This window comes from Homo sapiens, chromosome 11 (assembly GCF_000001405.40).
Source record: "Homo sapiens chromosome 11, GRCh38.p14 Primary Assembly".
Lineage (NCBI taxonomy): Eukaryota > Metazoa > Chordata > Mammalia > Primates > Hominidae > Homo > Homo sapiens.
In genome coordinates, this window is record NC_000011.10 from 25,555,602 (window position 1) to 25,581,624 (window position 26,023).

Genomic DNA, 26,023 nt, shown 5'->3' on the forward strand with positions numbered 1-26,023 from the left:
ACATTCCCACCAACAGTGTGTGAGTGTCTCTTTTCTCTTATGATGATATGGTTTGGCTCTGTATCCCCACCCAAATCTCATATGGTTTGGCTCTGTATCCCCACCCAAATCTAATACTGAATTGTAATTCCCAGTGTCGGAAGAAGGACCTGGTGGGAGGTGATTGAATCATGGGGGCAGACTTCCTCTAGTGCTATCTTGTGACAAAATTGTCATGAGATCTGGTTGTTTGAAAGTGCATAGCACCTCCTGCTTTGCTCTCTCTCTCTCTCTCCTGCCATCCATGTGAATATGTACTTGCTTCCCCTTCATACTCTGCCATGATTGTAAGTTTCCTGAGGCTTCCCCAGATACAGAAGCTGGTATAGCCTGAAGAACCATTAGGTGATTAAACATCTTACATCTTTCTTTAGAAATTATCCAGTCTCAGGTATGTCTTTTTTCTTTTTTTTTTTTTCTTCCCTGAGATGGAGTTTCATTCTGTCGCCCAGGCTGGAGTTCATTGGCACAATCTTGGCTCACTGCAACCTTCTCCTCTCAGGTTCAAGCTATGCCTCAGCCTCCTGAGTAGCTGGAATTACAGACACGCACAACCACACCTGGCTAATTTTTGTACTTTTAGTAGAGAAGATATGTCTTTATAGCAGTGTGAGAACAGACTAATACAGATGATATCTCATTGTACTTTTGATTTCAATTTCTCTGATGTTTAGTTTTGTTGAGAATTTTTTCGCATACCTTTTGGTCATTGATAGGTCTTCTCCATGAAAGATGTCTACAATGAAAATTCTGAAACACTGATGAAATAAGTTGAAGACTACACAGAAAACGGAAAGAAATCTCATGTTTATGGATTGGAAGAATCAATATGGTTAAAATGCTCATACTACTGAAGGTGATCAACAGATTCAATGCAATCCTTAACCTATGACATTCTTCACATAAATAGAAAAAACAATTATAAAATGTATGTAGAACCACAAAATACCCAGAACAACCAAAGTAATTATAGGCAAAAAGAAAAAAGCTAGACACATCCCATTACTTGACTTCAAATAGTAAAGCTGTAATAATCATTGCAGCATGGTACTAGCATAAAAACAGACAAATAGACCAATGGAACAGAATAGAGAACTCAGAAATAAATCCACAAACTTAAAATGAACACATTTTTGACTAAAGTACCGAGAATTTACACTGAGGAATATCAGCCTCTTTAAAAAATGCTGTTGGGAAAACTGGATCTCTGTAATGCAGAAGAATGAAACGAGACCCCCTTTTCACCATATAACATCTTAGTTAAATATTAAATGGATTAAAAACTTAAATGCAAGAACTTAATCTATGTAACTGCTAGAAGAAAATATTAGGGAAATGCTTCAGGATATTGGCCTGGACAAAGATTTCTTGAGTAGGACCTCAAAAGCACAGGCAACCAAAGCAAAAAATAGACAAATGGGATTAAATCAAGCTAAAATGTTTCTGCACAACAAAGGAAAAAATTAACAGTTACAACAACCTACAGAATGGCAGAAGATATTTGCAAACTATTCAACTAATGAAGAATTAATAACCAGAATATATAAGAACATTGACATTTTAAGACATTGGTTTGGGCAAAGATTTCTTGGGTAAGACCTTAAAGGCACAGGCAAGCAAAACAAAAATGGACAAATGGCATCAAATCAAGCTAAAATGTTTCTGCACATCTAAAGAAACAGTTAACAAAGTTGAGACAACCCTATAGAATGGGAAAAAATGTTTGCAAACTGTTCAACTAACAAGGAATTAATAACCAGAATATATAAAGGAGTCAAACAACTCAATAGCAAAATAAACACATAATTTGAGTAAAATATGGCAAAATCTTTTTATCTTTTGTAAGCCGCATCCTGATTTCAGAAATTTTTAAGTAAAAAATTGTGTATCTAAGAATTGACAATGTAAAATATTTTCATTTCACTTTCATATTAATCACTATACACTACGCATTATCTTATGATTGACTCATGTTTCCTTATCACTTGAAAACTTACATGTTTGAAGGACATATACCCTTTTACAAAATATGTAGTTTTTAAATCCCATTTAAAAAATGTTTGTCTTCATTTCAGTAGTTTTAAGGGTACCGGTAGTTTTTGATTATGTTTATAAGTTCCTTAGCAGTGATTTCTGAGATTTCAGTGCACCCATCACCCAAGCAGCGTACACCCAATATGTAGTCTTTTGTCCTTCAACCCCTTCCCAGTTTTCCCCTTGAGTCCACAAAGTCCATGCACATCCTCATAGCTTAGCTCCCATTTATAAGTGAGAACAAACTATATTTGGTTTTCAATTCCTGAGTTACTTCACTTAGAATAATGGCCTCCAGCTCCATCCCAATTGCTGCAAAAGACATAATTTTGTTCCTTTTTTATTCCATGGTGTATATAAACCCCATTTTCTTTATCCACTCATTGGTTGACGGGCACCTAGGTTAGTTTCACATCTTTGCAACTGTGAATTGTGTTGTTATAAACATACAAATGCATGTGTATTTTTCATAAAATGACTTATTTTCATTTGGGGACTATATTTGTCCATTCTCACACTGTATAAAGAACTGCCCAAGACTGGGTAATTTATAAAGAAAAGAGATGTAATTAACTCACAGTTCTGCATGGCTGGGTAGGACTCAGGAAACTTACAATCATTTTGGAAGAGGAAACAGGCACATATTACATGGTGGCAGGAAACAGAATGTGGGTGCAAGTGCAGGAAACATTTTATAAAACCATCAGGTCTCATGAGAGTTCACTCACTATCATGAGAAAAGCATGGGGGGAAAGCATCTCCTTCAACAGGTGGAGATTGCAATTTGAGATGAAATTTGGGTGGGGACACAGAACCAAACCATATCAGGTACATACCCAGTAGTGGGATTGCTGGAGTGAATGGTAGTTCTACCTTTAGTTCTTTAAGAAATCTTCATGCTGTTTTTCATAGTGGTTTTAAAAATTTAAATTCCCACCAGCAGTGTAAAAATATTCCCTTTTTCACCACATCCAGGCCCACATCTATTTTTTTTTTACTTTTTAATTATGTCTATATTTTATGAAATATTTAAATTTAACTAAATGTGAAGCTCAAGCAGTCATATAAAGTGGCTGCTGTATAATCAGTTTAGTACCTTTAAAATAGGAAATTCTTTACACAACAATGACACATTCTAGTTTTAAACTGGATGCTTCTGCAGGTGATTTTGCTCTCCTTTTGAATTTAATTAAACTTACAAAATGTAATGGCATATTTACAGCTGCCTGAGAGCAATGGTAAGTTTTATTTAGATCTGAAAACAATGTGATACACACATTTTCATAATTTATAATTTATGTAAGCATAAGTAATCTATGATTCTGAAATATGCCATAAAAAATTACTGGGGTTCAATCATTTCACTTTACAGTTATGCATAGTGCTATGATCCCATCTCATGATTTTAAACTTGTACTAAGATACTTATATCTTACTTATTTCTTATTGATTTCCTGAGCCTTTTCTCCCAGTCTTTCTCTTAATTCCTAAAGAAAATTATTCCAAAGAGAACATGGTTAATACATAATCTGAAACTGTGGTATAAGTTAGAGGCTCACAGTTATTTTTAAAATCATTGCAAGATTATTTTTTACAATGATAAAGAGAAAATATGTAATGTTAGGTTAGGTAGGACTTGCAAGTATCTATAGTTGTGTTTCAGATAATTTGTAGGGGACTTCTGGTCTATCCAGCATTTGACTAAACATCTATTTAGAAATGTTTCCCAGGTATTGGTAAGAAAGTTCTGCCTTTTCACGCAGAAGAAAGTGGTAGGAATACATTTCATTTTTCCTTTTCCTGGCAGCTACATTGTGGACATGTGACCTAAGCTTGGCCAAATGCATATTCCTATCTGCTCTTCTGTCTTATAGTAACAACAAGACATGACAAGACATTTTTTAAGCCAGATAAGATTTATGGTGGAATAAAAAGACTCAAGTATTGTGAATGACTAATGATGCTAGTTCTAGAAACATGTAACAAAATTCCAGAAATGTAGAGCTCCAAGGATAGTTGTAGCCGAGCATGCGTTATTGTTCCTAATCAGTATTTCTCTTTCCAGATCCTAACTCTGCCTTTTCCTTTATTGGATCTGGGCATTGATAAATTTTCTTCTGCTGGTAACCTCTAACTATTCTCTAGTAATTCTATCAAATATCACATATTCGCAACTAGGTATTCAGGCTTGTGCTGTGAACCTAAACCGGCATTTTGATTGGTTAAAAATGTGCCATGTGTTACTCATCAGTCTTGAGAGTTGAGTCAATACTACCCACACCAAAAGGTTTAATGTGGAAGAGAAATGTGACCCTTGGCAAAAATCTTGGGGTGATAACAAGAAGGAGAAACAATAGAGGCTAGCTAGATAGGTAGAAACAACAGCAATTTTCTCCATTTGGTAAAGACTCTTCTAAATGACTTCTCTGTATAATTCAAGAGGGAAACAAGCAGTTTCAGTTTTTTGAGGAACTAAGCCTGTGAGTTGAAAGCTGTAGGTCATGGATAAAATACCAGTTGGGAATAGTGGAGGTGAGTACAGCTACTGGATTTAAAACTATAATGCACAGTTTATTCAAGCCCAATTTTAATATATTCAGAAAAAATTATCTTCTTAAGTATCAGTGTTTTGCCAACGTTCAAACAAATGCTGGGCTAATAATCATTTAAATAATTTTTTTCAATAAGAGGCATTGCAATCGTAAGCAAATAGGCAAGATGATCAGGACAATTAATGTGAGTTCCACATTTTGAAAACAATTTTACAGCACTTATTTTAATTTAGGCAATTAACATGTCACTCAGCTTTCCCTTTCCTCACACCAACAAAATATTCCTATTCCTCTTAAATCAGATCAATGTGAGTAGTGAAAATGATAAAAATGCATTTATGTACAATTGTGCAATGCAATAACATTTTCACGAACATCATCCTGTTAGAACATAAAATCCACGAGGGTAAGGTTTTTCATTTTTTTATCATTATCTGTATTTATAGTTTCTAAAACAGAGTGAAGAATGAATAAATATATAATTTTACTGGTATCAAAAGGCAAAGTAAATTTTAGTTGCTGGGCTGGAAAAAATATTTATTCACTCATATATGTGTTATATGTAATCAATTATATATGTATATTCTCATATATTTTTACAAAAAGTATATACACAGATTTAGAAATATCCATATATATGGTCCTTTCTAAGTTGAACTTGTCTTTTTACTTAACCATGCAATTTGTCAAAGAATATATTAATACTTTAAAAGTCAGAAGACCACTAATGAATGTATCAGGCGATAAGAATTGGAGTAACAGCTTACAAGTTGCTCCAAACAAAGTAAAATAAATAAATAAATAAAAAACAATAAAACTTTTAGTTAAATGGGAAAAATATTGATAAATGGCTAAACTCTTTCTGAAAACTAAATAACAATTAGTCCCAACTTCAGTCAAACATCCACTAACTTATGGAGACTTTTCTGACTTCATGGGTTGCCTACAGCTAATTTGAAGAGAAAGGTTTGGAAACCATTATTTCATTAAAAGGTGCATAGGATAACTGTGAAATCTATTCAGATAACCTCGATGAAGGGCACGGGCCCGGTTTAAAGCATTGGGAAAAGCTGACAAGATGAAGTGTCTTCTCAATTTATTCTTAAAGAATGAATAGAAGCTTTCCTAAAAAAAAAGAATGAGAGGAAAACTTCCAGCAAGGTGAGAAAACCATTTCAGGTGAAATTTTCAGTTATTTGGGGAAACTATTTTATAATTGGTTTCAATTTTAATTTAGACTGTCAGCAGACCAGTTGACTCACTATGAAATCTACTTATAGTTGCGTTTCTTAGTGTAGACGGTACCATCTATAAAAGGTGTTTTGAAAATTAGTGGTGATACATTGGTCACAGTATTTGTGCAATAATTGGAAAATATACTGCCATGGAGTCAGAGGCAGGAGCAAAAAAGTGGGATATTTTGTAAAGCCCAGAAAGTTTTATACAAAGGAAATGTATTCCACAGCTCACCAAAATTTTAAATGCCCTGTCAGAACTTCATTTAGAATCACAAAATAAACTTAAAATACATTAAATTATATACTATAAAATAAAACGAACTACTTACAATTATCTCAGTAGAGAACCTAACTGATTTTCTACTTACAGAAAGATTTTGAGTTTAATACATCATAAGTCTAGGTATGCAGCTACTAACTGAAATTAGGATATGCTTTTTAGGTTATTTTGTTCAGAACTTTACTAAGATTAGTGCTGCTTGTGATATTTGAGTTCCAATGCAGTAAGCCTTAATATTCTACGTTTAATATGGTTTTACTTATGTACTTCCACATATAGGCATCAGCCTTTCTTAATTTTTCTGGAGGGTTGTGCCTGAAATTTACATATTAGGGTACATATTATGAAATATTTTCCACCTATTTTTTATGACAGTGCAAGCTTTATTTTTGTTGTTATTATTGTCTTAATTATATATATAGATAAGTTATATTATGTGTGGGTATCTTTTCAGGAAAGTAAAATATCACAACGTATGCTTCATCTAAATGATATGATAGGGTTAGGAACTGCTGTTCGGAAAGGATAAAAGGAATAGTACAAATTGCAGAAACCTGTAAAAACTAAATTCTCAAAACCTATGCACTATTGAACTATACACTTTTTCTAAATTAAAAAAGTAAGTGTTGCACTAATCATGAGAGAAAATGTTACAACAGTGAAAAATTTCAAAGTCAGCACCCTTCTTCACTCACCTCTGCTACCTATGTCTCTAAAATGACTGTGTTTCTAACTCATGAATAACCACAGCAGGAGTTGTGACAAGAGGCTGCCCTGAGTCCAGTTCAGCTTTCTGGCTCAATGGGTGCAGCTGCAGCTGTTTTTAATCAGATACATTTTTGGATATCTTTCCAGAGAGTGAAGTGCTCTAATTTTGAAGTTCCAGGAATAACATTTGGCTTAATGGAAATGTATGAGTGTACACAGTTGCCTAGAACTACTGGCTGCTGGAGTGAACTGTGGACATGCATCAAAATCACTGCCCATTTCAATGTGCCATATACGTTTCCATGTTCAGGCCTGACGGTCTTCCCTATACCCATCCAGATTTGTCATCCAAATGTGTTGTAAACATTTAACCTGAAACCCTGTGAATTATGCTGTCCAATTATATTGGAATCTGAACAAATGGACAGAAAGGAATACCAGTAAATTCATCATTGTATTAGCTGAGACAAATACCTTTTTTTTTGTCCTTTTTCTATTTAAGCCAATATAGTATATTCAAATGAAAGTGAATGCAGTACGTAGTACGTAGGGATCTCTCCAAATCTATAACATGCATGAAACCAAAGATTCTCACTAGAAATTTTAAAAATTAAATGCCTTTATGTCAATATAAACCCAAAAATATGCTAGAAAAAAGGAAGGTTTAAAATCATATTAGAACATAGCTATGATATAAAAGTAATGTATGCATCAAAGTAGACAGCCCTCATTTTAATGAACTTAAAAATAAAATTAAGTATTTATACTTAATGAATACGAAATGTAGATATGTAAATATATACAGAGATCCACCAACTAGTTTTAAATGTTTGATCAAACTGACATTTACCAGCATTATTTTAGTTGAAAATCATGTAATTAAATTGAGAATTGTTGATGTGATTTTATAAATGATATTCATCATATGCTTCCATTAATTTGACTTTGATGACCATATGAGATCAGCATTTTTGAATTTACCCATTGCTTGATGATTGGCTATTGGCAAATAGATTAACCATTTTGTCATGTCATTCTGATTTATGTGTGAGAACACTGTGATAGCTAAACTAGATTTTGAGTGGAAAGGAGCAGTTATTGAGTATGATAGGAGCTACTTTTCCCTAAATTAAACTTATTGAGGCACTGGGAACCCCTTTTGCTCTGGCGTAAAGGAGTACGCTATTTTCTTGATAATCACATAACCTGAATTTTTAAATCTAAAATATATTTTTGTACCTGTGATTATTACTGTAATAAGTATTTAATAATATTCACATAAAATTGTGCATAGAAATAAATATATTTGTAGAAATATATGGATATATTTGTAATACTAGGAAGCTCTAAGCACAAAAATAAAAACAAGACTGTAAACATAAAATTTAGGACCACAGATGCTGAAAGCCAGGCATTGGACATTTAGAGGCGGTGCAAGACTTACTTTGAATCTCAGTAATACACAATTATATCATTATTATATTATGGAACCAGAGATGAGAATCTATGGAGCAAATCTGGTCTGGCATCTATTTTTGTAAATAAAGTTTTATTGAAACACTGCTATGCCTATTTTTCACCCTGTTGTTGCTTTTCACCCTGTTGGCTTTTGTGCTATGGCATCAGAGTTAAGTAATTGTGACAGAGACCATATGGTCCTAAAAAATTAAATTATTTACCGTTTGGCATGTTACAAATATGTTCTGCTAATCCCTATTCTAGCATATTAATTAGCATTTGTAGTTGAGTTCTGAGCCATTAAAATTGCATATGTTTATTTAATATGTTTCATTATTCTACTTAGAAAAACAGAAACATGCATGATATCTTTGGTTAATAATTCTACAACCCAAAAATTGTGTTCATAGATTAAACACTCCAGTGCTTCCTTTTAAATGCCCTTCTATTGAATGTGTCTGGAATCAGCAGATAATTTATTATTTTTTTATTCTGACAACCAAGTAGTGTGGCCATTTGGAATTCAATCATGTGTTTTAGATACAATGACTTTAACTGAGGCCACAATCTCTTTCAGTGTATTTAATTCATTCATTCAACATTTATTGAACACTATATTTGTGCTATTCACCGAGAACATTTCCTAAGTGCAGGTGTATGAAGGAAACATGATTCTAAAGCTAAAGGAGATCTTACCCTAGTGAGAAGAACCAAAATAAGAATCATCACCACTATTCTGTTTGGTTCAAACTCATGCTTCACTGGGGGAGCACAGTGCAGTGTGTTGTAAACTCACTTCCATGTTCAGGGTGCCAAGACATTACAGAAATAAATACAGTTAAGATTATTGCATAGTATTTACAGACAAGGTTTCTTCTTTATGTTCTCCAGGAGCAAAATCCAGAAGAAGCTAATAGATGCTTTAAGTGTTTTTGAAATATGGATGTAAGATGTTCAACTTTGGCTAGTGAGTTCATACAACACAATAACATTCCTTGGAGACATTAAATTTCCAGCTCTTTCTATAGCATTAGAACCATCTTAATTAACAAATTTTCCTTGAGCATCAAAAACAAATAGAATACTGTTGCTGGTACAAAAAAGGGAAATAAATATCAGATCTGGATTAAGCTTTCAACTGGGGTGAGGAAATGCCAAATAATGAAACATGTCTAAAATGCTCAGTATACTACTCATAAGATTCCACAGTCTAAATAAAAGATCAGGCCGGATAGGTTCTCCCAATTTTTTTCAAGGAATCTGGCAAGATATAAAAGACCATTGTCTTTGAATGATAAGTCTGAAATCTGGACAGAGTACTGAACCCATGCATCCAAAATATTACTTTTCTTTCTCTGAAGATAATTTCAGACAATATCTCAACCTCATAAAGAGAATGAGGTTCCTTCTCAACATGCTTTTGAGAGGACTGACCAAAGTACTTCCATGGAACCTTGTAAAAGACAAGTGTTATGCATAATGTAAGCAAGGACCAGAGGCGAAAAATGCAGATCACTACTGTCAAATATGACCAAGTGTGAAACAGATTTATTTTGGACCTGATTAAAAAAAAAAAAAAAAAGTAGAGTTTTTCGTATGTATTTTTTCCTAGAAGTAAGTTAAATACTTTTATGATTTTTCATCTTGTGTAAACTATCTGAAGAAAAATGAATAATGGAAAACTCTTGATTTCACACAACCAGAGTGCATGTATTTATACTTAGGAAGTTTCTCAAAATAGAAAATTCACATTTCAAGATCATCGCTGAGTGCCTCCCTAGAAAAGTTTTGACTCATTCAGTCTAAACTGTGAGCCCTTTATTATTTTTCCACAGCTCATAAACTTCAGCTCCATTGTACATGTTATACTTTGTAACTTCATAGTTTTAAATTTATGTATTTGTGTGAATATATAGAAAAGTATATATGTATATATATGTGTCTTTATATATATCCTGTTTTCTTGGATTTTTGATTTTGTTCTTGTTTTTTTTTTTTTCTTTCTGACATGTCAGAACTATAAACTACATACTCCATAATGTCTTTTTGAAAACAGAAGTAAGAGATACATTCTTCATTTGAAAGTGATCCATGGAGTGACATCAGCAAGATAAACAACTAAATTGCCTGGCTTTGGGTGCCTTTGGCACCCCAAAATGTGCCAAAACAATGATTAAACAACTACATTTTGGCTAGAATATCTGAGGAATTGTACTGGAGAGTGCCAAGGGAACAGTGAAATGCTTGTGGAGCACAGAAGCTCAGGATAGTCAATAAAGAGGGCAGTGAGGCATCCTGCCTCTGCCATATTGTCTCTCTCACTGGGATCAGATCAGAGCCAGAGTACTCTTCTTATGGGCAAAAGGTGAGATGGATACCCTTAGCAATCCTCATTACCATCATAGACACCAGCAGTCATTGCTACAGAAGGGTCCCCCAGTCTTCACAGACCCCAAGTCCAGTGTGAACAGTTAGTTGCCAAGAGTCCACACAACTGTATTTCCCGAGAGCAGGGACTCCCTTTATGTCCTCAAACCTTGAAACCTAAGTGGTTATGGCATACCTTCCTTTTGAAACTGTGAACTTTATTTCTCAACTTAAGCTCTATCAACTTCAAGACACTACTGTAAGTAAAATGATATCAGCCATTTATTCCACCCCTAAAGAACTGAGGTTACTGGGAATTTAGTCCTTTTAATGCAGTCTTTTTTACATTATTAACCGAAGAAAATTGAGTTCCCTTAAAAATAAATTAGAGAACAAAATTAAGTCAGAAAAAGCCAAATTTGGACTGTAAGGTGAATGCCTAATGATTTCCTGTTGAAACTCTTTCAAAATTGCCCTTATCTGATGAGAGGTTGAGCAAGAGCTTTGCTGTGGTAATGAAGGACTCTCTTGTGCGGTTTTCCTGGGTGTTTTCCTGCTAAAGCTTTGGCTCACTTTCTCAAAACACTCTCATAATAAGCAGATATTACCATTCTTTGACCTTCCAGGAAGTCAACAGGCAAAATGCCTTAAGCATCCCAAAAAACTGTTGCCATGACCTTTGCTCTTGGCCAGGTCACTTGTTCCCGGACTGGCCCACTCCCACCTCTTGGCAGTTCTCGCTTTGCTTGTGCTTTGTCTTCAGGAGTGTACTGTCCTGATATTTGATCTTCTGTTATGATTCTTTGAAGAAGTGCTTCAGGATCATGATTCCACTTGTTTGAAATTTTCATTGAAAGCTCTGGTCTTGTCTGCAGCTAATCTGGTGCAATCATTTTGGCACCCATCAAATAGAAAGTCTTCTCATCATTAGTAACTTAGAACTGTGTGAGCTGAACCAATTGTTATGTCTGTGCTGTTGGCTGTTGTTTCTGCTATTACTTGTTGATCCCCAATTAGAACACTAAGAAGATTATTTTCCTCAAATTGTTGTTAATGGACTGCCATTGCAGGCTTTATTCCTAACATTCTCTTCTCTCTTATTGAAGGATATGGAGATTATGCCAATACCCTGAATTCAGAAGCTAAAAAATAAAACCGACATAGGCAGTAACTGAAAAATCAAACCGACCTGAAACTGCAACCACCAGTACATCTTTTTTTTTTCATTTTCTCACTGATTTTGTAAACTCTCCTTTCAAAACCTCAGCTAGCATATTCCTTCAAGTATAGCCATCCACCTCCAGACTTGCAGATGTGAAAAAGCTCTGAGGCTGCTCATATTTTTAGGTTGTCTTGGTTTATGTTATATGATGTGTGGAAACTCTTTACTCTTTTTCTATAAATCACCAAAACCCTTTTATGCCATTAGTGCCTCTTGACAACAATCAGTTTTTCTACACACCACTAATAAGAATCACCAACTATTCTTAATAGTGGTGTGTAGATTAAGAATCACCCACTCAGTGGGTCCCGGACTGCATTGCACGCTGAACCATATAGAGAAAATTCTAACACTACATGACAGTGTCATTTGTCATGTTTTCTGATTAAACTACTGATTAAACTATAGGTATTTTTAATTATATCTAACCAACATTTTCTACTGAAGATTTGGACATTGCTTCTTGCTTAGGAAACGTAATTTGTATGGTGGAATATATATGTGGTCAAAGTCTCAGTTATTTCTTAGCCTCATAAGTTATCTGGCAACTTAGCATAGTCAGGTCTCTTAGCCTTGTTGCTCATCAATATCCCTGGGTGTAAACTGGGGATATGACAAATATATTTCCTTTAGAGTTTTTGGAGAGAAACAAATGTGATTATGTTTATAAATATATCTTATAAAATGTTTTACTGTACATATGAAAGAAAATATTTTAAGTTAAATGTGTGAAATTACTTTCTCTTGTAACAACGGATTGCTTTCTATTTATCAGAGAGAAATATCGTACCATATTTCTCAATAAATTTTCTGACCACTTTTTCAGAGTTCAGAAAAACAATGATCCTTTTTTCAATCAATAAATGTGTCACACCTTCTTAATTCAGATCTTTCTGCTTTTCCATCTCTGGATTATGTACAAGTATGTGTCAGTCCTTTTGTTTTCATGTGGTTTGCGTTTTTTCTTTTGTAAGTAAGCAATCAACCCAGTTTACCTAAGGCAGGATTCTTTGTTTTATTTAATTAAACATAATAAAGCCAAAAACTTCTTGAACATATTCAGTAGAATCCAAAGTTCTGGGGCTCTGGTATATTTTAGGTTTTCAGAAACAAAGGACATTATGGCTTTTATCATGATTTAATTTCCTCGATACAGGGTTCATATGAGTCTCCTTATTAAAGAAGAATAATAGATGTAGACCTCAAGAACTAAATTCAATTTGTTAACATATTTTATTTGACTGTTATCTGGAGACAGTCTACAATATTACATTCTCATCTCCAAGTGCCTTTAACATACTAGCACAGAGTGAATTTCTTGTCTATTTTTGAACCCATCTCAGCTGAATGAAAATAACAACTGTTGTATAGGGATGTTGTAAGAGTCTAAATACTGTTTATAAATTACTACAAAGCCTGGCACATAGTGGCCAGTGAATCATATATTGATCCCTTCTATTTTTCATGATTATCTTTTATAGAATTATATTTTAGAATTTAACTCATTACATTAGATTTAAACTAATTACTCATTACAAATAGAGTGAAAAGTAAAATATATTTTCCCTTTTCCATGATGCTTCACAGGCACACCTGAGATAGGTTTGATCTATATACTTATATTTAGATGTGAGAGACACAAACTGTACCCACAAGATAATCTCCTGAGAGTAGAAAGTCTCATAGCCCTTCTCTATCTCAAGGTAAAAGCTAAATCTCCATACAACTCTAACACAGTGATACATGATTGCCCTGTCACTGTGGCATTGGTTCTGAAATCATTCCCCTTCATACTCCTTAACAAGTCACCTTTAAGGCATGGTTAAATTTGCATTTTTTTCCTGTTAGGAATTCCAGAACTACTACTAGCATTTTTATTTCCATTTCAAATTCAATAAATAAGAAGGTTGTTTATTATTTCCTTGCCTCTACTAAGAGAGAAAATAGTTGTGATTTATGAATTTTAAATGTGAAAACAATATATAAGAATGCTTGCTAGAATGTTATAGCTACACAGCTACTATAGCTCTGGGTTTGAGCAGAGATTAATCCATTCATTTGATATTTATTGAGTACTTGGTTATATAGCACTAAAAAAGTTAATCATTACATTTATACACAAGATGCTTACAGGGATTAATGAAAACTTTGGATAAGTACCCACACTGTAAATACTATCATATAAGCTTATGTTTTCATACTGTTATGTTTCACACAATCCTCAACACATCTCAAATGGCATCCTTAATAGATGCAAAATTGGCTTCTTCCATAATAAAGAAGGGAAGTCAATTGAACTTCAACCAGACAAGAGTGTATTACATTTTTATACTCAAGAATTATTTACATGATTATTGGTTTTCCACAAATTTTCTTCTATCTCTACAAAATTGTAAAATAGGTCAAAGAAAATGAAAATCACAAACTTCAAAAAAACAAATAACCCAGAAAAGTATATACCAAACAGTGCGCTGTTTTCCATGAAAGATGCCTTTTGGCCCAATAACAAGTCTTCCAGAATTTTCCTTATAGCACATTCAGACCCTTAGTCTTACCCTTTATTTGTGGCCCCCTGTTTTGGAGAACTTACCAAACTCTCTTGATTAGAGTTTTGCACCAATTCTTCTTATATTTTAGCATGATGATTAATGTCTCTGGTCCCACGGTTTAAAAGATCTTGATATCAATCTTGGGTCTGCCACTAGTTGTGTGACTTATGGACACTTGTTTAGCATCTGGGTCACTACTTCATCAGTAAAACTGACATAAATCTTGTTGTGATGATTGAATGTGATAATGTAAGTGTTTACCTCAATGCCGGGCACAGACTATGTTCTTTATAAATGTTTGATCTTATAGCTATTGTTATTTATTTCACTGTCATTATTAATTTGATCTTTATTTTTGATTAGGGCAAATACATTTATCCCTAACTTCGGGGCACTCGCAGTGCTCTAAAGCTCAGTTATCTCACTCTGCTTTCATTGTCAGTATTTTAGTATCTGCCTCCTTCACTTACAGAACGGTAAGACCCTGATACTGAGCCAGTATTCAATGTTTTCCATGACATCTTGTTGATGTATTCAATCAATAAACAGTTATTAAATGCCATTCTCCCTAATCTGATGGAGCTCATCTATCTGCCAAGCAAATGCAATAAGTAAGACCTAGCCTCTGCATTTAATATACCTCCAATATTTCTATGAATGTAGAAATATAATAATACCACCCATTTGCTGAATTTTTTTATGTGACAGGTACTATGCCAAGAATGTACACACACATGACCTCATTTAATACTCTCAATAATCATTTAAAATTTGTTCCCATACCACCACTATATATCAGAGAAGCAACCAGACAAATTATGTTCAAAGTAAGAAAACAATGTAGACTTTGATGAAGTGTCATGACCATTGAGTTAGCCAGGTGCAAGAATTGCCGAAGGATGCTTAAGGTAAGGGGAATGGCATAAACAAAGCACAGAGGCATAATAGAGCATGAGGAGTTCATATTTCTTAAATAATAAAAGATGGCTTTGTTGACCTGTAAGTTGCTGATAGGGGAATGTAAAGCTAAAATATGTACTCATGTGCAGATACTCTAAGACCTTATATAACAGTGTATAAAAACTTCAGACTTCACTAGTTACTAAGGCTTCATTGACTTCAGTTAAACATTAAAAAGGATAGATACACTCTTGATGCATAGTTAAATCTATAAAACAGTTTTGTGAAAGTGAATTTGTAGAAAAAAGTAGGGGGACAGTGCCTTCTCTTTATAAAGGTAAAATAAAAAACTTTAAGTCTTGCAAATTGTAAACCAGATGCCAGTGGCAAGAGGCACATTTCTCCTAAAACATAGCTACTTGCCACTGAGAGATTAGCAATGTAGTTAGATGTCAAAATGCATCATTCTCATGTATTCCCTTACCCAACATTACCATTTTCTTATTTGAAAAACCTGAAAGTAATAAAGCACAGTATCTCACTTATCTAATTCTGAGATGTAGAAGCCTACAATAAGTAAGATGGGGTAAAATGTATCTGTAATAATTGGGTGATTAATTTATGACTACAGAGAAAAGTCAAAGTAACTTTCTTCTCCCTACTACTTTTCTACATCCGTACCTCTCCCATTCTAGTCTGCACTGTCATGACATCATCCAGATCTCTGCAAGAGCAGCTGCCTGAGAGAACTGTCTGCCATTCTTCTGTGCCTCCAAGCTGTTTTCCAAATTGTGGCTAGGAGAGTTTCTATCATGTTCCCCTTTCTGAAATACTTAGTACATTTAATAGTCTCTATTAGATAAGTTCTAGTCTCAATAATGATATATAAGCTCCCTATGAACTGCTGACAGCCTCTTTCTTTATCAATCTTGACCTGCTATAAATATTTGTCACTGAAAGTCCTAAATATTACATAATTTTACATTTCTTATTTTTGTTCTTCTGCTCATGTTTTCTTGTCCCCACCCACTTCTGCCTGAAATGCCTTTCCATATTTTCTTTACTCAGATAATTCTTACTCTTCTATACAACTTCAATTTATGTCTCATACAGAAAATCTTGCTGAATACTAACTTTGGGATAAGAGACCTTTCTCTTTTTATACATCATATTGAAAGTTTATATTTATGTCTCTTGCATTACTCCCAGTTCTAATGCTCTCAAGTTTTCCCCGGTATACCTCAAACACCGGCCAACACTTATACACTATTCAAAATACAATTAGACCCAGTACTCCAAAATTTCACACTGATTGCACATACAGAGGCCTATTAACATGACTATGAATTTCTAGCAATGTGTGCATACCTCTACCTCTGCACTTATGGTCAAACAATGTATTTGATATCTCCTCCATGGTTTTAAAAGTTTTTAGTTGTTTTCTTAAATTACTTCTGGAGCTCTAGACTCAAGCGTGATTTCCAGCACATAACAAATGCTTATTAATTAATTCAATAACTGCAAATTGAGAAACAACTGGATGCAGATACTGTGAAATCTTTCACAAACAATGAATACACATCATTCCCCTCAAGTAGTTTATGTCTCAAAACAGGTATCAGTCCACAACTTATCAAATGAATAAAATAGTACTGCAAGTAGAATTACCAGAATAAACATATAGCTAGTGTAGTGCTCAGAGAGGTGTATAAAAAGGGCAACAAAATTAATCAGAAGGGTCAGAGAAAGCACCCCTAAGAAAGTGTATTATTCAGAGTTATCTTAGAGAGACAGAACAGTGAGGTGAAGAAGAAAAAAAATGTGATAATATCAACAGATGCATAAAAACCAGTTGACAAAGTCCAACATCCATTCATTCATGACTATATATCATGAATATATATATTTATTTTATAAATAAATATATATATATATTTTTAATATATATATTAAATATATATATTAAATATATATATTTTATAAATAAATATATATACACACATATAACTCTCAGTAAACTAGGAATAAAGAAGAACCTCAATTTGATTAAAGTGAAATCTATAAAAAGCATACAATTAACATCATACTTAACGTTGAGAAACTAGATGCTTTCTGCTAAATCAGGAAAAAAGCCAGGTGTTCCCTCTCACTACTTTTCAACATTATACTGGAAATCCCAGCTATTGAAATAAAGGAAGGGTGTGTGTGTGTGTGTGAAAAAGAGAGGGATTGGGGAGAGAGAAAGGAAAATAAAAGTTATGCACATAAAGAAGGAACAAATAAAACTGCATTTGTATGTAAATAACATGATAATATATACAGAAAATCTGAAAAAATCATCTCAAAATGTCTCTCTTGGAACTAAAAAGTGATCCTAGCAAGATTGCAATACAGAAGAGCAATATACAAAAGCCAATTGCTTTTCTGTGTACCAGCAGTGAACAAGTAGAATTTGAAATTAAAAATGTATTTCTACTTCCATTAACACCAAAAAATAAAATACTTAGATAAAATCTAAAAAAAGATATGAGATCTATGTGAATAAAACTACAAAACTCTGATGAAAGACTTCAGGAAAAAAACTAAGTAACTGGAAAGATGTTCTAGGTTTACGAATAGGAAGACTCAATATTGGCAGTATGTTAGTTCTTCCCAGTTTGCCCTATAGAGACAGTGCAATCTCAATCAAAATCTCAGAAAGCTTTTTTTTTGATGATTTTCAACAAACTAATTATAAGCTTTACATGGAGAAGCAAAAAAAAAAAAAAAAAAAAAAGGAATAGCCAACTCCATATTGAATGAAACAAGCAAAATTGGAGAACTGACATAACCTGGCTTCAAGATTTACTTAAAGCTACAGGGATCAAGAAAGGGTTGGGTTTGTAGAATGGACAAATAGTTCCATAGAGAGAGCACTGAAAGTGGCCTAAATAAAGAAGAAAGTTCCGAAAGTCGGGATAAAAGAAGGTCATGAGAAAACAGAGTTCTTTAATTCCTTAACCCTGCTATCTATTCAAAAGTGACCAATGTATTTTAGACCCTTAGCAACCCACTCCTTATAAATATACCTCTGATCTTGGGTGAGAAATTAAGAATAATTTCAGAAGTGTTTCTTCAAAAACACCTCTTGAAAAATGGAGAGTTTTCCCATGAAATCATGAGAATAATGTTCTTTTCTTTAATTTATTTTATCTATTTTGAGACAGAGTCTCGCTCGAGTCACCCAGGCTGGAGTGCAGTGGCGTGATTGCGGCTAACTGCAACCTCCGCCTTCTGGGTTCAAGCAATTCTCCTTGCCTCAGCCTTCCGAGTAGCTGGGACTACAGGCATGTGCCACCATGCCCAACTAATTTTTTGGTATTTTTAGTAGAAACTGGGTTTCATCATGTTGGCCAGGCTGGTCTTGAACTGCTGACCTCTAGTGATCTGCCCGTCTTGGCCTCCCAAAGTGCTGGGATTACAGGCGTGAGCCATTGCACTTGGCTGAAAGTTCTATTCTTAAATCTAATATGTATTTTTCTTTAATAAATACGAATCAGTTCCAAAATATATTGCTCTTCTCTTCACTATGCCAATGTAATTTTTTATTAAATATATACTTCTACGTATTTTGGGTATGTTGACATTAAATTTCCCTTTAGCTTGAAAGTATATAGGGTTTACATTCTACACTAAGAATGTTTAAAATATGTAAGTGCTCTACTGAACTGTGCTGGGGGAAATACTATATTGAATGAAAATTATATCATATGCTTGCTCTGAGCTTGTTGTGTTCAGTTCTTCCTCTGCACCAAAATCCATATACAGATATTTTAAAAACATTGGTAATGTATGTAAACAGCTGGATATTCTAATTTGGGACATTTAGTTTGAAGCCTGAATATCTGTAATTTTTTTCAAATACTTATATTTGGCCTGTGCAGCCAAATTAAGGATCATTTATTTAAGGAGTCATAAGTTAGGTGAGCAAAAGACAAATAACTTAACAATGGTTAGATTTTTTTGTAAAGCACTTGCAAAAATGTATCAATATTCTAACTAAAAGAGATCAAATGTGCAAAAAGGGAGAAATCCTTTCTTGTCTAGATAAGCTCAATATTATTCTCCTTCTTACTTCTATTGCCTGGCCTGATGCCAAACAATTATCTTTCATAAAATTAGGTGGCTGCATGGATGGATGGATCATTTTATGCGGGAAAGCATAATAAGATAGATGTATGAATGGACAAATTATTAATTGGTAGATGGGTGAGCGGGCAAATGGATGGATGCATGAAAAATGGATTGATATGTGAGTAACTGAGTGGAAAGATAAAGGATGAATGGATGAGTGAATGAGTAGCAGGATTTATAACTAGATTACTTGGTGAATGAATGGATGCATGAATGACCAAACAAAGTATGAAAAAAGAGAAGGAACTCTTGACATTTTAACACCTTCTTGTAATGCCCAATACCAAATTAAAGAAAATAAACATTTAAAACACTTGGTATCAATGTTGCATTTTGGCAATGTTTATTACTTATCTGGTTATATTAAGAATTTGATTCTGATTAAAATATCATTATGAGCTATATCCAAGTAGGAGTAAAGTAAAAATAGTTTACTGACCATCTTCAAGAATGGTTGAATCAACATTTTGACATACTAAGTACAATTTCAGAGGATGTAATCTGTTGAACCAGGGAGAAGCAAGGCAAGCCTAGACAAATAAAGCATTCTGTAAAAATCACTGGGGAAGCAACAAAAAGGGAACAAACGGATATATTTATTAAACTCTAAATTCTAGATAATCAGCCCAATGGTGAAAGCAGTAGTATTTATTATGCATCAGCTTTTTAGTCTCCCTAAAATTTTGATTGGCCTAAGAGGCAATTATAAGCTAGGAAAAATACAATTGTGATTTACAGCAGTATATTACATTCTACGTGAAGAATGTATGAATGTTCTATGGGTTTTTACATGTAAGAATGTTCTATGGGTTTTTCATCACAGAAGCCTTTACAAATACAAAGATTATATCTAGGCCATATAAATTTAAAAAATATGTTTTCAGTTCATCTTTAAACAGTTAAGTATTAAATTTTAAATAAAATACACATCAACTATTTTCTTTATAGTATTTTAATACATTTTATTTTATAAATAGTTTAGTTTTACATTCACAGGAAATATTTTTAATACATTTTATTTTAAAAAATAGATTTACAGTCACAGAAAAATATTGTTTTTAATACATTTTATTTTAAAAAACAGTTTTAATTCACAGAAAAATATTATTTTAATACATTTTATTTTAAAAAATAGTTTTACATTCACAGAAAAATTTCAAAGACAATATAGATAATTCCCATATAGTCCACACTCAGATTCCCCTTCTATGAACATATTTGGATGGTGCATTTAATATAATTAATTAACTAATGTTGACAGATTATTACTAAACAAAGTCCATATTGTTTTCACATTTTCTTAGTTTGTACTCACTGTGCTTTTTCTGCTCCAGGGTACCATCCAGGATTCCACATTACATTTAGTCATCATTACCTCCTTAGGCGGCTCTCCCATATAAATTTTTCACATACTTTCCTCATTTTTTATAACCTTGGCAGTTTTAAAGAATTGGGTATTTTGTTGAATGTGCATACTATTATTATGACTGGATATTGATCTTGATGTTTTGTGGCTGAAGTAATGATAATTTGGTTTCTTTACATCAAAGTTACTTTTTTATTCCACTTTTCATATTGTACTTTTTGGGAATGAGTCATTATGCACAACCTATATTTATGTTCCACCTCTTTGAGGACAGAGCCTCTACATGAAATTTGAAATTGATGTGCATATGGAATTTGTCTTTTTTCTTAATTTATTTATTCAAATAATTATCATTATTTGAGAATGAGCTCTGTTCTCTCCCCTCCAGTACCAGGAATGTAGGCTAATTTCACAGTTACTGCTGAGTTGGGAAGAAGGGAATGAGTCTGGGATAAGTTAAAATGCCACAAAGTTATCTGTTCTTATTGAAAAATTAGTCTGAATATGATCAAACTTAAGATGATCATATTGAATATATGAAGTGACCAGCATCAAGAAAGCAAGTGATAAATGTACAAAATCAGTATTATGTTACTATTAGGGAACCTGGGTAATACTATAAAAAGATATAAATAAGGTTATTTGATAGGATAAAAGTTTTCTCAAATTTAACTCTTACTACATTTTCTTGTTTATGTGAGAACCTATCTAATCAGTTATGTATGACTGCAGTTTTCTTAAAAGCACAGCAGAATTCTCAGAGTACATTTAACTTTAGAAATTATAGCATCAAATGCAATAGGTACATCAGAAATGAAATAATAAAAAGCTATTCAGAAAAGAAATGAAGATTTACAAAAGTAATGGCATTGTATACTAGAAAACAGAATTCCACCCCCAACCTCAACTCCAGGCTGTTTATTTCCATATAAATCACTGACTTAGACTTAATTAAACTTTACAACTTAAAGGCTATGGCTGTTGGACCTCCATAATTGGACAAGGGTTATTTGTCAATATTTCATATTTGTTTGGAAATGCTAAAGTCATTTATGGCAACAGGCCCTACCCAGGAGCTTGAAGACATCTGAATGCAAATTGTATTCTGCTCGGTATCTGCAGGTTTAAAGCAAAGAGGGTTTTTTTTATTATTTTTATTTTCTTTGCCAGAAATCTGTTGCAGAAAATTTTCCAAGAACCCTCAATAAGTACACCTGGAAACATCATAGATCAGTGGTTCTCAACCTGTGCCATGCATTTTAATAACTATGGAACTGTAAATATTCTCATGCCAAAGTTCCATCTCCAGAGGTACTGATTTAATTGGCCTGGATTTCATTATGGGAAATGAGCTTTATAAGAGCCCCTAGGTATATGACTTTATAGCCAACATTATGAACAATGGATATTCTTAACCTAGGAACAAAAGCAGACTCTAAGAAAAGGTCTATTTATGTTCACCATTTTCTTGCTTCTTGATAAGATGAATCCCCCTTCACTAGCCCAGATAATGGTTATCAGTATTCCATACATCTCTTTCTGACCAGTTGTTTGCTGTTAGCTAATCACTCCATTCTTTCTATATTCTATCATTTCTTTATTTATATTGTCTCCATTATATTGCTAAATACATACATTTAAATAATTACCTGAGATGACTAGAGTAATTTTGCAGATGACAATGAGCACAAGGTATTCAGAACATTTACAAGGTATTACATAAATCTAAGAATTTTATTCAGGCAGATTTTGATGTCTCACCTATATGTCAGCATCATGGCATTTAAAGGGCAAAAAATAAAAACATATTTCTAAACTTAAAATACTTTATTTGTAGGTCAGTATATGCTTTTTAAAGTTTATGTGTATAAACATTAGGGTACATTATGGAATTGGTTAAAAATGTCAGCCTAAACTAACTTTATGATATTTTGATGCTGCTGCATTGGTTAGCATCCTAGAATGATCTGAAATAATATCCTAATAAATTTGTACTAGTTCATCTTCCTTAATGAATATCAAATAATAACATTACTTATAGATCTTGATTTCCTGACATATATCTTTGAATTCTTTTCAAAGGCATTTGTAGAAATGTGAAGACAAAATTAACTGATTCTCCGTCAAGTTTATAACACACACACACACACACACACATACACACACACACACACACACACACACACACACACACAGACCTATCTGGTTCCATTTCCTTTTAACATGTTATTCTTAAAACACGCCTCTCAGTAGTAATGGTTTTCTTGCTGCTCCCAAAGGTGACCCCAAAGTAGCAAATACTAAGCAATCATAAAAATATTTTGAAATAAATTTTGCTTGCCACATATATAGGCATAAGTTAGAAAGATGCTCATATCATCTTAAGACTTAGTTTTATCAAAACTAAGGGCAATTTTCGCTTTGAAGATAGAAATTATTGATCCACTATTCTTTCATTTATTTTTCTCCCATAAAATCATTAAGCATATAAATGCCAAGCATAACATTTTATTTCTTTGTAATATGTTTAAAAGGACATTCAGTGTGGTAATTTTTTTCTTTCTTAGGCTTATCTCTCAGCCTGTTATGTAATCTGTACCATGAAGCCACTGGCAAATTGATTAAAGTGTCTAAGAAAAGGAAACACTTACCAGATTCGAATTTTAGAAAGATTCCGCAAGTAGTTAAAAGGGAGGGCAAAAAAGCTGGAGACAGGGAGAGTCATTAGAAGACTATTGCCATATTCTAAGTGAGCAATAGTGTCATTTTGGCAAGTGACATGGTAGCTGAAAAAGAGGGAGGGGATAAATTTGAGAAATGCAAATGTAATAATGTTGGCAGGAAGTTGTGAAGGCAAATGTGGAGGCAGAAAAAAAAAAGATTCTTCCCTTAAGAGATATAATAGTTTCATGCGTGTCCGTGTGAAGAGACCACCAAACAGGCTTTGTGTGAGCAATAAAGCTTTTAATCACCTGCGTACAGGCGGGCTGAGTCTGAAAAGAGAGTCAGCGAAGGGAGATAGGGGTGGGGCCGTTTTATAGGATTTGGGTAGGTAAAGGAAAATTACAGTCAAAGGGGGGTTGTTCTCTGGCAGGCAGGAGTGGGGGTCACAAGGTGCTCAGTAGGGGAGCTTTTGAGCCAGGATGAGCCAGGAGAAGGAATTTCACAAGATAATGTCATCAATTAAGGCAGGAACAGGCCATTTTCATTTCTTTTGTGGTGGAATGTCATCAGTTAAGGCAGGAACTGGCCATCTGGATGTGTACCATCTGGATGTGTACGTGCAAATCACGGGATATGATGGCTTAGCTTGGGCTCAGAGGTCTGACAAATAGGGTCTAGGTTCATCAGGAATATTAAACTGTAGTTTTCTTTTAATGTGATAACCCTGGTAGGTTTCAGTATCAAAATAATACTGGCCTCTTAGATTGAGTTAGAGATGATTTCTTGCTTTTTAATTTTTTGAAATAGTTTGAGGAAGATTGGTATTAGTTCTTCTTCATATGTTTTGCAGAATTTGGCAGCAAATTTATCCAGTTCTAGGTTTTTTGTTTGTTTGTTTGTTTTTGATGGGGGAGACTTTTTATTACTGATTCAATCTTGCTACTTGATATTGGTCTGTTCAAATTTTCTATCTTTTCCTGATTAAATATTAGTACACTGTATGTTTCCAGGAATTTTTTCATTTGCTCTAGGCTTTCCAGTTTGTTAGCATATAGTTGTTCAAAATAGTCTCTGGTTATCTTTTGTATTTATGTGGTGTCAGTTGTAATGTCTCCTTTTTCATTTCTGATTTTGTTTGTTTGGGTCTTTCCTCTTCACTTCTTGGTTATTCTAGCTGGTAATTTATCTGGTGAACACAGATGCAAAAATTCTCCACAAAATACTAGGAAACAGAATCCAACAGCATGTCAACAAAGTCACATAGTATGATCAAGTCCGATTTATACCATGGATGCAAGGATGATTCAAAATATGCAAATCAATAAATATGATACATTATGTCGAGAGAATGAAGGACAAAAAACATGTAATTATCTCAATACATGCATAAAAAACACTTGATAAAATTCAACATTCCTTTTACAGTAAAACTCTCAGCAAGCTAGGCAGAAAAAGGAACATAACTCAAAAAAATAAAAGGCCATATATAACAAGCCCACAGCTAACATCATACTTAATGCGGAAAAGTTAAAAGTCTTTTCTCTAATAACTGAAACAAGACAAGAATGTCTACTGTCACCATGCCTATTTAGTATAGCATTGAAGTTTTAGACAGGGCAATTATGCAATAGAAAATAATAAAAGGCATCCAAATTGGAAAAGAGGAAGTCAGATTCTCCCTTTTGGCAAATAACATAATTCTATATTTAGAAAAGCCAAAATACTCTGCCACAAAACTTTTAGAATTCATAATCAAATTCAGGAAAGTTACTGCATATAAAATCAGCATAACAAATCACTAGCATTTCCATAAATAAATAATAAAAGAGTTGAAAAAATCAAGAAGGCAATTCCATTTAAAATGGCCACAAAAAATGAATAAAATACAGGAATAAATTTAAGCAAAGAGGTGAAAGATCTCTACAAGGAAAACCAAAATCATTGATGAAAATAATTGAAGAGCATACAAACAAATGGAAAAACATCCTAGGCTCATCAATCAGAAGATTTAATATTGTTAAAATGACCATACCACTGAAAGCAATCTACAGATTTAATTCAATCCCTATCAAACACCAATGTAATTTTCATAGAAACAGTAAAAACAATCCCAAAATTTGTGTAGAACAATAAAAGAGACAGAATAACCAAAACAATCCTGAGCACAAAGAACAAAGCATTACACTATCTGACTTAAAAATACATTACAAAGCTCTAGTAACCAAAATAGCGTGTAATTGATATAAAAATAGACACATAGACACATGAAACAGAATAGGGAACCCCAAAATAAAGCCATATATGTACAGCCAACTGATCTTCTACAAAACTGTCAGTAATATACATTGGGGTAAGGACACCTTTTTCAATAAATTGTGCTGGGAAAACTGGTTAACCATATCCAGAAGAACAAAAATGGAGCCCCATTTCTCTTCACATACAAAAATCAATTCAAGATGGATTAAAGGCTTAA

At 33.5% G+C, this 26,023-nt stretch overlaps 1 long non-coding RNA gene across 2 annotated transcripts in view, besides 1 other annotated feature; it reads left to right on the forward strand.

Annotated features, from left to right (window-relative positions):
- LINC02699 (long intergenic non-protein coding RNA 2699) overlaps positions 1–26,023 on the forward strand; it is a 470,852-nt gene that overhangs the window by 102,002 nt on the left and 342,827 nt on the right. The window lies entirely within an intron of this gene.
- Positions 23,716–24,369: an enhancer, noted in NCBI's record as "OCT4-NANOG hESC enhancer chr11:25600863-25601516 (GRCh37/hg19 assembly coordinates)". NCBI's record gives its function as "activates a minimal SCP1, AML or CMV promoter by ChIP-STARR-seq in primed H9 embryonic stem cells {active_cell/tissue: H9 hESC(primed)}" and the evidence as "EXISTENCE:reporter gene assay evidence [ECO:0000049][PMID:30033119]".